Source organism: Homo sapiens, chromosome 7 (genome assembly GCF_000001405.40).
Source record: "Homo sapiens chromosome 7, GRCh38.p14 Primary Assembly".
Lineage (NCBI taxonomy): Eukaryota > Metazoa > Chordata > Mammalia > Primates > Hominidae > Homo > Homo sapiens.
This window is the reverse complement of record NC_000007.14, coordinates 109899719-109911129: the sequence shown is the minus strand read 5'-3', so window position 1 is coordinate 109911129 and position 11411 is coordinate 109899719. Positions and strand designations below refer to the sequence as shown.

General features: G+C 38.7%; 2 annotated features.

Moving 5' to 3' along the window:
- Positions 4899–5398: an enhancer, noted in NCBI's record as "H3K4me1 hESC enhancer chr7:109545789-109546288 (GRCh37/hg19 assembly coordinates)". NCBI's record gives its function as "activates a minimal SCP1, AML or CMV promoter by ChIP-STARR-seq in primed H9 embryonic stem cells {active_cell/tissue: H9 hESC(primed)}" and the evidence as "EXISTENCE:reporter gene assay evidence [ECO:0000049][PMID:30033119]".
- Positions 5399–5900: an enhancer, noted in NCBI's record as "H3K4me1 hESC enhancer chr7:109545287-109545788 (GRCh37/hg19 assembly coordinates)". NCBI's record gives its function as "activates a minimal SCP1, AML or CMV promoter by ChIP-STARR-seq in primed H9 embryonic stem cells {active_cell/tissue: H9 hESC(primed)}" and the evidence as "EXISTENCE:reporter gene assay evidence [ECO:0000049][PMID:30033119]".

The following is an 11411-nucleotide window of genomic DNA, read 5'->3' as shown; positions in this document are numbered from 1 at the left end:
TGTCCATTTTAGATCTTTCCTGCTTTCTCTTGTGGGCATTTAGTGCTATAAATTTCCCTCTACACACTGCTTTGAATGTGTCCCAGAGATTCTGGTATGTTGTGTCTTTGTTCTCGTTGGTTTCAAAGAACATCTTTATTTCTGCCTTCATTTCGTTATGTACCCAGTAGTCATTCAGGAGCAGGTTCTTCAGTTTCCATGTAGTTGAGCGGTTTTGAGTGAGTTTCTTAATCCTGAGTTCCTGTTTGATTGCACTGTGGTCTGAGAGATAGTTTGTTATAATTTCTGTTGTTTTACATTTGCTGAAGAGTGTTCTACTTCCAACTATGTGGTCAATTTTGGAATAGGTGTGGTGTGGTGCTGAAAAGAATGTATATTCTGTTGATTTGGGTTGGAGAGTTCTGTAGATGTCTATTAGGTCCACTTGGTGCAGATCTGAGTTCAATTCCTGGATATCCTTGTTAACTTTCTGTCTCGTCGATGTGTCAAATTTTGACAGTGGGGTGTTAAAGTCTCCCATTATTAATGTGTGGGAGTCTAAGTCTCTTTGTAGGACACTCAGGACTTGCTTTATGAATCTGGGTGCTCCTGTATTGGGTGCATATGTATTTAGGATAGTTAGCTCTTCTTGTTGAATTGATCCCTTTACCATTATGTAATGGCCTTCTTTGTCTCTTTTGATCTTTGCTGGTTTAAAGTCTGTTTTATCAGAGACTAGGATTGCAACCCATGCCTTTTTTTGTTTTCCATTTGCTTGGTAGATCTTCCTCCATCCTTTTATTTTGAGCCTATGTGTGTCTCTGCATGTGAGATGGGTTTTCAGAATACAACACACTGATGGGTCTTTACTCTTTATCTAATTTGCCAGTCTGTGTCTTTTAATTGGAGCATTTAGTCCATTTACATTTAAAGTTAATATTGTTATGTGTGAATTTGATCCTGTCATTATGATGTTAGCTGGTTATTTTGCTCGTTAGTTGATGCAGTTTCTTCCTAGTCTCGATGGTCTTTACATTTTGGCATGATTTTGCAGCAGCTGGTACCGGTTGTTCCTTTCCATGTTTAGTGCTTCCTTCAGGAGCTCTTTTAGGGCAGGCCTGCTGGTGACAAAATCTCTCAGCGTTTGCTTGTCTGTAAAGTATTTTATTTCTCCTTCACTTATGAAGCTTAGTTTGGCTGGATATGAAATTCTGGGTTGAAAATTCTTTTCTTTAAGAATGTTGAATATTGGCCCCCACTCTCTTCTGGCTTGTAGAGTTTCTGCTGAGAGATCCGCTGTTAGTCTGATGGGCTTCCCTTTGTGGGTAACCCAACCTTTCTCTCTGCCTTCCCTTAACATTTTTTCTTCATTTCAACTTTGGTGAATCTGACAATAATGTGTCTTGGAGTTGCTCTTCTCGAGGAGTATCTTTGTGGCGTTCTCTGTATTTCCTGAATCTGAATGTTGGCCTGCCTTGCTAGACTGGAGAAGATCTCCTGGATAATATCCTGCAGAGTGTTTTCCAAATTGGTTCCATGCTCCCCGTCACTTTCAGGTACACCAATCAGACGTAGATTTGGTCTTTTCACGTAGTCCCATAGTTTTTGCATGCTTTGTTCGTTTCTTTTTATTCTTTTTTCTCTAAACTTCCCTTCTTGCTTCATTTCATTCATTTCATCTTCTATCGCTGATACCCTTTCTTCCCGTTGATGGCATCGGCTCCTGAGGCTTCGGCATTCTTCACGTAGTTCTTGTGCCTTGGCTTTCAGGTCCATCAACTCCTTTAAGCACTTCTCTGTATTGGTTATTCTAGTTATACATTCGTCTAAATTTTTTTCAAAATTTTTAACTTCTTTGCCTTTGGTTTGAATTTCCTCTTGTAACTCGTAGTTTGATTGTCTGAAGCCTTCTTCTCTCAACTCATCAAAGTCATTCTCCGTCCAGCTTGTTCCATTGCTGGTGAGGAACTGCGATCCTTTGGAGGAGGAGAGGTGCTCTGCTTTTCAGAGTTTCCAGTTTTTCTGCTCTGTTTTTTCCCCATCTTTGTGGTTTTATCTACTTTTGGTCTTTGATGATGGTGATGTACAGATGGGTTTTTGGTGTGGATGTCCTTTCTGTTTGTTAGTTTTCCTTGTAACAGACAGGACCCTCAGCTGCAGGTCTGTTGGAGTTTGCTAGAGGTCCACTCCAGACTCTGTTTGCCTGGGTATCAGCAGCGGTGTCTGCAGAACAGTGGCTTTTCGTGAACTGCGAATGCTGCTTTCTGATGGTTCCTCTGGAAGTTTTGTCTCAGAGGAGTACCCGGCCGTGTGAGGTGTCAGTCTGCCCCTACTGGGGGTTGCCTCCCAGTTAGGCTGCTCAGGGGTCAGGGGTCATGAACCCACTTGAGGAGGCAGTCTGCCCATTCTCAGATCTCCAGCTGTGTGCTGGGAGAACCACTACTCTCTTCAAAGCTGTCAGACAGGGACATTTAAGCCTGCAGAAGTTACTGCTATCTTTTTTTTTTTTTTTTTTTTTTTTTATTATACTCTAAGTTTTAGGGTACATGTGCACATTGTGCAGGTTAGTTACATATGTATACATGTGCCATGCTGGTGCGCTGCACCCACTAATGTGTCATCTAGCATTAGGTATATCTCCCAATGCTATCCCTCCCCACTCCCCCGACCCCACCACAGTCCCCAGAGTGTGATATTCCCCTTCCTGTGTCCATGTGATCTCATTATTCAATTCCCACCTATGAGTGAGAATATGCGGTGTTTGGTTTTTTGTTCTTGCGATAGTTTACTGAGAATGATGGTTTCCAATTTCATCCATGTCCCTACAAAGGATATGAACTCATCATTTTTTATGGCTGCATAGTATTCCATGGTGTATATGTGCCACATTTTCTTAATCCAGTCTATCATTGTTGGACATTTGGGTTGGTTCCAAGTCTTTGCTATTGTGAATAGTGCCGCAATAAACATACGTGTGCATGTGTCTTTATAGCAGCATGATTTATACTCATTTGGGTATATACCCAGTAATGGGATGGCTGGGTCAAATGGTATTTCTAGTTCTAGATCCCTGAGGAATCGCCACACTGACTTCCACAATGGTTGAACTAGTTTACAGTCCCACCAACAGTGTAAAAGTGTTCCTATTTCTCCGCATCCTCTCCAGCACCTGTTGTTTCCTGACTTTTTAATGATTGCCATTCTAACTGGTGTGAGATGATATCTCATAGTGGTTTTGATTTGCATTTCTCTGATGGCCAGTGATGATGAGCATTTCTTCATGTGTTTTTTGGCTGCATAAATGTCTTCTTTTGAGAAGTGTCTGTTCATGTCCTTCGCCCACTTTTTGATGGGGTTGTTTGTTTTTTTCTTGTAAATTTGTTTGAGTTCATTGTAGATTCTGGATATTAGCCCTTTGTCAGATGAGTAGGTTGCGAAAATTTTCTCCCATGTTGTAGGTTGCCTGTTCACTCTGATGGTAGTTTCTTTTGCTGTGCAGAAGCTCTTTAGTTTAATTAGATCCCATTTGTCAATTTTGTCTTTTGTTGCCATTGCTTTTGGTGTTTTGGACATGAAGTCCTTGCCCATGCCTATGTCCTGAATGGTAATGCCTGGGTTTTCTTCTAGGGTTTTTAGTCCAGGACCAGATGGATTCACAGCCGAATTCTACCGGAGGTACATGGAGGAACTGGTACCATTCCTTCTGAAACTATTCCAATCAATAGAAAAAGAGGGAATCCTCCCTAACTCATTTTATGAGGCCAGCATCATTCTGATACCAAAGCCGGGCAGAGACACAACCAAAAAAGAGAATTTTAGACCAATATCCTTGATGAACATTGATGCAAAAATCCTCAATAAAATACTGGCAAACCGAATCCAGCAGCACATCAAAAAGCTTATCCACCATGATCAAGTGGGCTTCATCCCTGGGATGCAAGGCTGGTTCAATATACGCAAATCAATAAATGTAATCCAGCATATAAACAGAGCCAAAGACAAAAACCACATGATTATCTCAATAGATGCAGAAAAAGCCTTTGACAAAATTCAACAACCCTTCATGCTAAAAACTCTCAATAAATTAGGTATTGATGGGACGTATTTCAAAATAATAAGAGCTATCTATGACAAACCCACAGCCAATATCATACTGAATGGGCAAAAACTGGAAGCATTCCCTTTGAAAACTGGCACAAGACAGGGATGCCCTCTCTCACCGCTCCTATTCAACATAGTGTGGGAAGTTCTGGCCAGGGCAATCAGGCAGGAGAAGGAAATAAAGGGTATTCATTTAGGAAAAGAGGAAGTCAAATTGTCCCTGTTTGCAGACGACATGATTGTATATCTAGAAAACCCCATTGTCTCAGCCCAAAATCTCCTTAAGCTGATAAGCAACTTCAGCAAAGTCTCAGGATACAAAATCAATGTACAAAAATCACAAGCATTCTTATACACCAACAACAGACAAACAGAGAGCCAAATCATGGGTGAACTCCCATTCACAATTGCTTCAAAGAGAATAAAATACCTAGGAATCCAACTTACAAGGGATGTGAAGGACCTCTTCAAGGAGAACTACAAACCACTGCTCAAGGAAATAAAAGAGGAGACAAACAAATGGAAGAACATTCCATGCTCATGGGTAGGAAGAATCAATATCGTGAAAATGGCCATACTGCCCAAGGTAATTTACAGATTCAATGCCATCCCCATCAAGCTACCAATGACTTTCTTCACAGAATTGGAAAAAACTACTTTAAAGTTCATATGGAACCAAAAAAGAGCCCGCATCGCCAAGTCAATCCTAAGCCAAAAGAACAAAGCTGGAGGCATCACACTACCTGACTTCAAACTATACTACAAGGCTACAGTAACCAAAACAGCATGGTACTGGTACCAAAACAGAGATATAGATCAATGGAACAGAACAGAGCCCTCAGAAATAATGCCGCATATCTACAACTATCTGATCTTTGACAAACCTGAGAAAAAGAAGCAATGGGGAAAGGATTCCCTATTTAATAAATGGTGCTGGGAAAACTGGCTAGCCATATGTAGAAAGCTGAAACTGGATCCCTTCCTTACACCTTATACAAAAATCAATTCAAGATGGATTAAAGATTTAAACGTTACTGCTATCTTTTTGTTTGCCTGTGCCCTTCCCCTAGAGGTGGAGCCTACAGAGGCAGGCAGGCCTCCTTGAGCTGTGGTGGGCTCCACCCAGTTGGAGCTTTTCGGCTGCTTTGTTTACCTAAACAAGCCTGGGCAATGGCGGGCGCCCCTCCCCCAGCCTCCCTGCCGCCCTGCAGTTTGATCTCAGACTGCTGTGCTAGCAATCAGTGAGATTCCATGGGCATAGGACCCTCTGAGCCAGGTGCAGGATATAATCTCCTGGTGTGCCATTTTTTAAGCCCATCGGAAAAGTGCAGTATTCAGGTGGGAGTCACCCGATTTTCCAGGTGCCATCTGTCACCCCTTTCTTTGACTAGGAAAGGGAATTCCCTGACCCCTTGCACTTCCCGGGTGAGGTGATGCCTCGCCCTGCTTCGGCTCGCGCACGATGCGCTGTACCCACTGACCTGCGCCCACTGTCTGGCACTCCCTAGTGAGAATAACTCAGTACCTCAGATGGAAATGCAGAAATCACCCGTCGACTGCGTTGCTCACGCTGGGAGCTGTAGACTGGAGCTGTTCCTATTCGGCCATCTTGGCTCCTCCCCCGATATTTTCTTAAAGTACCTGTAAAGCTGAAGTAAAGTACAACAGGCCTGAAAGATTAGAACTGCCTTATTCACAATGGTTGCGAAGCTTGGCTGCTTATTGAGATGACCTGTTGAGGTTTTCAGAAACACAAATTTCTTGCCTACACTGTACCACTCTCCAGGTCCTGTCTTTTCCATCAAAATTTCATGAGGTGAAGTGTAAGAATCATTATTATTTTTTAAAAATCTAAATCAGTTCTGACTGAACATGTTTGGGGAACCACTACACTAGGGTTATTACTTTTTTTTTAATCCAAGAGAAAGGATTCAAATAAAGCAATTAGTTACACCAAACGTATATCAATCCTCACCTGTTTAGCCCAACAAATTTCTTACATATAAATAGATCCTAATGTTGTTGAAGAACTGGAATTTTATTGTAAACATATGTTTAACATGTATATCTTTTATTTCTATTGTTCTCTTTGTCTTTTAATCTCCAAGACATCATGTGAAATATTTTAAGTCGTTATCTTTTTCCTTGCACAGTATTCCTCTGAAGAAAGAGGCAAATGTTTTACAGGGATTTTCACAAGACTATAGCACTGAAGATGGCAAGGTCTCAACACTGAGACTTTTTTTTTCTTTTAACTGAGAAGAAAGTTCAGGGACTAAACACTTTTTCCAAAATATGAAAAATAAATGTTAAGTTTTACAAAACCTTGGGGAAAGCAGCATCCAGGAATGCATTAAGAGCATCATTTTTTTTCTTAGTAATAAAAGCCTGAACTGAGAAGCAATTTAAGTGCAAAATGAACTTGAAATGATCTGTCATGTCCTCCTCTCTTTAATAGAAACTAGAGACCGAGATAACCATGCCCAGGACAAAATACTGGAAACCTAATTTAATCTAAGTCACACTCAATAGTGGATGTAGTGGGAGCATTGTTTAGATTGAGTTATAATGGCTGCTTAGCTAGTACAAGGAAAGTAATATTATGAAGACAAGATCTTGAGTTTGATCAATTTTGTCTTCCAAATATCTTTGAGCACCAAACCCCAGACAGATGGTTATCTAACAAATGTTTATCACTTCTGACAAAAAGTTCTTAACAAGAGTGGGTGCAGATGTATTACTATCATAATAACCTAATACAAATGTATAAATTACTAATTTATCATGGACTTTATATGTGAGAAATTATATAAAATTAAGATGGCATTAGCCATGAGAACAATGGATGTCAAAAATCGATAGAAAATTTAAATTATACACTATATATTTAGGTGATTTCAGAGTTTGCTAAGTGTTTCACCTAAATCATCTGAGTTGATCTTTAAACAAAGCTGCAAAATGCCTCTGTAAGTAGGTTGAATAGTGGTCACCAAAGAAATCAAATCTTACTCCCTGGAAAGAGTAAATATTACTGTATTTTGAAAAAAGGGTTTCTGCAGATGTGATTAATTAACAATTTTTTGATAAGAAAATAACCCCATATTATTTTGTAGGGCAATGAATGCCATAGCAAATATTTTTATAAAACAGAGCTAGAGGTTTCACACAGCCAGGAGATGAGAAGGAAGTGTGGCCTTGTGGACAGATATTAGAATGATATGACCAAAAGTCAAATAAAGGGAATACTTCTAAACTCATTCTATGAGGCCAGTGTTAACCTGATACAAAACCAAGTAAGTACACATCAAGAAAAGAAAACTACAGGCCAGTATCTCTGATGTATATTTACTGATGCAGAAGTCCTCAACAAAATATGAGCAAACCTAATTTAACAACACATTAAAAAGTTTATTCATCATAACCAAGTGGGATTTATCCAGGGGATGCAAGCATAGTTCAACATATGCAAATTAATCAATGTGATATATCATACCAATAGAATGAAGGACAAAAACAATATTGTTATTTCAAATGATGCTGAAAAACCATTTGATAAAATTCGAAATCATTTAATAGTAAGAACCATCACAAATGGTATAGAAGGAACATACCTTAACATTCAAAATGCCGAATAAGACAGACCCACAGCTAGTATCATACTGAATGGGTAAAAACTGAAAGCCTTTTCTCTAAGAACTAGAACACACAATCATGATGCATATTTTCAACACTGTTACTCAATGTAAAGCTGGAAGTCCTAGCTAGAGCAATTAGTAAAAGAAATAAATAAATGGCATCCATTTTGGAAAGAAAGACATCAAATTATCCTGTCTGCAGATTATATAATCTTATATTTTGAAAAACCTAAAGACTCCACAAAAAACTGTTAGAATAACTACATTCTGAATGTGATAAACACATTCAGTAAAGTTGCAGGATGAAAAATCAATATGCAAAAATTAGTAGCATTTCTATATGCCAACAGTAAAAATCTTAAAAAGAAATCAAGATAGCATTCCCATTTACAATAGATAACAGACAAAATAAAATTCCTAGGAATAAACTTAACCAAAGAATTAACAGATCTCAATAATGACAACCATAAAACACTGATGCAAGAAATTGAAGAGGACACCAAAAAGTATAGATATTCCACGTTCATGGATTTGAAGAACCAATATCTTTCAAAGGTCCATACTACCAAAGCAAATCTACAGATTCAATGCAATACCTATCAAAATATCTAATACATTCTTCACATAGAACAAACAATGCTAAAATTTTTATGGAACCTCAAAAGATCCAGAATATTCAAAGCTATCCTGAGCAAAAAAGCAACACTGGAGGAATCACATTACCTGACTTCAGATTAAACTACTGAACTGTAGTAACTAAAACAGCATGATACTGGCATAAAAACAGATACATAGACCAGTGGAACAGAATAAAGAACCCAGAAACAAATCCATACGTCTACAGTGAACCTATTTTCAGCAAAGTTGCCAAGAACAAACATCGAGAAAAGAGTCTGGGAAGAGTAGTGGCGGGGAAGTGGGTATAGTTAATGGGTACAAAAGAGATAGAAAGAATGAATAAGACCTAGTATTTATTTGCTAACACAACAGGCTGACTATAGTAAAAAATAATTTAATTTTGCATTTAAAAACAACTAAAAGAGTATAATGGGATTGTTTATAACACAAAGGATAAATGCTTGAAGTAATGGATAAAAAAAGAAATTATTGCTGTCTACTTTGGAGAGCTGGATAATTTCTTCCTCATGTTTCTTAATAGAGATTTCCATTTGGCCTGAGTCATTAATCCAAGTACAATAGGATATATTAGCAATTGCCCAGGCTGTACATTTGCCAATAAGGATGAAATCTATAACAATTCCAGCATTCCTAATATCCCTAGTCAATGAGTTGAGGATAAGCCAAGTTCCTTCCAGCTCCAAGATAGTCTGATTGGTTACTTCAGCTAAATTCAAAACAAATATTTTAGCACTTTTTCTAATTTGATGACTCACGTTGTGGTAATAACTGCCAAACACAGCAAATAAGTAAGGAGTCAGTTATCCCTCAACAAATCTACCTTGGAAAATCCAGGGCTGCCTCATTTTAGAGAGAATGCCTCAGTCTTCTGAGCTCTCAGAGTTACTGGTGGTGTTTCCTTAAAGACTTGCTCTCTTATCACCACCTATAAGATGAAAATAACAGTGTTTTTGGAAGGGAAGGAAGTTGATTCCTAGCTTCTACACAAGAACTATGATCCCAGCAATATGCACATGTTGTCCCAGGGGAGAAAAGATATGTTATGATTGTTGAGGTCCTGCTCATGGGACCTGCAACAATCAATGTGGAGGCACAAGTTGATACTGCCTCAAATGTGTTCTTCAGGCCCACTGGTAGAGTCTAGTTCCTGATTTTGAAAAGACTGTGAAGGCAGTTCCATCTGTCCTGCTTGTTTTTGTCATCATTTGGATGCTATTCATTTGCCCCAGGCAATGATGAGAATGTGGATGGTGGACTTATGGAGGTAGAGAGGAGAATTTTCTTTGGGAGTTGCAAAAGCTGGAATCATTCCCTGTTGTTTGTGATAGACCTATTGATAAGGTTAGAAGACAAAGCAATGGTTAGAGGTGTCTGGTTAGGATAGCTAACCCAGCAGACAATTTAAAGTGAGTGCAACAGTTTTTGTTGTGTCATCACCAGGACATTTTTCTTGGTATGAAAGGATCCAGGACAGATCTGAAACAAAAAAATCACTAATGTGTCTCCCCTATCTACGCCTCCGGGGCCTAATGTTTTGCTTTCTTGGGAGCCAGGGTAGTTGCTTTTCCTCTAATACCTCAAAATTGGTGTTTCTAATTCCTTTAAGGGGAAGTCCACACTTTGAAGCATCTTCTGTGCACACCCAGAGCTTTCACATAGTGGGGTTAGGTCCAAGTGACAAGGCTTTTTTTTTTTTTTATACTTTAAGTTTTAGGGTACATGTGCACAACGTGCAGGTTTGTTACATATGTATACATGTGTCATGTTGGTGTGCTGCCCCCATTAACTTGTCATTTAACATTAGGTATATCTCCTAATGCTATCCCTCCACCCTCCACCCACCCCACAACAGGCCCCGGTGTGTGAAATTCCCCTTCCTGTGTCCATGTATTTTTATAAAACTCACAGAGACCCAGTGTTTCCCTCTCTTCGTCTTGGAGAGCAATGTACTTAACCAAGTGGTCATTACACTTATGATTTGCTACCTTGTCAATTTAACAGGACACAATGCAGGTGGCTGACCTGAAATTAATTTTGAATTACTGACGCTCCCTTTTGCTAGGTTGTCAGACTATGAATCAGGCTATCCTAGGATTCTTGTTAGGGGAAAAATAATCCCACCCAGGGATGTCAGGAAAGAATTTTGAATTTTTGATAGTTACAAGTAAAGATCAAAGGTCTAGTGTCATCAGTCTGCCAGAAATAGATTGGGGTAGTGCCCATGGAATATGTTCTCTCACTTAGTGACATCGGGATCAACTTTTGCTCCTATTGGTCCACTGGCTTTACCTCAGACAATAGACTAGTGGTATAATTTCCTATAAAGGAATAGCTGCTACTTTTTAATGTGAGGTCAAGTTGCTGCTGAGGATAGGCCATCTGTGTTCCTGAATATACCATTTTCACCCAGGTAGGGAAGATTATTGGGCCCTTTCTTCCTTGGTAATAATTCAATCTGAATTGACCAACCTCAAACTAGATATATCAGGGTAAATATTAATTAGGCCTTATGGGTGAGACATTCAGTGTTGATAAGAGTGCAGTAGTAATTGAAATGGTCTCTTTTCTATTTAAAAAAAAATTGTATATATTTAGTGGGTATGAGTGCAGTCCTGTCACATGGATATATTGCAGAGCAGTGACATCTGGGCTTTTAGTCATCACCCAAATAATGTACATTGGACCCACTAAGCAGTTTCTTATCCCTCAACCTGCTCCCACACTTCCACTCATCCGAGTCTCCAGTGTCTATGATTTACACTCTATGTCCATGTGTACACATTATTTAGCTTCCTCATATAAGTGATGACATGTGGTTATGGACTTAACTGTTTCTGAGTTATTTCACTTAAGATAATGGCCTTCAGTTACATTCATATTGTTACAAAATACTTTTTAATGGCTGAATAGTATTTTATTGTAATATATATAGTATATATATATTATATCATAATATATGTAGTATATATATTATATCGTAATATATATAGTATATATATATTATATCGTAATATATATAGTATATATATATTATATCGTAATATATATAGTATATAT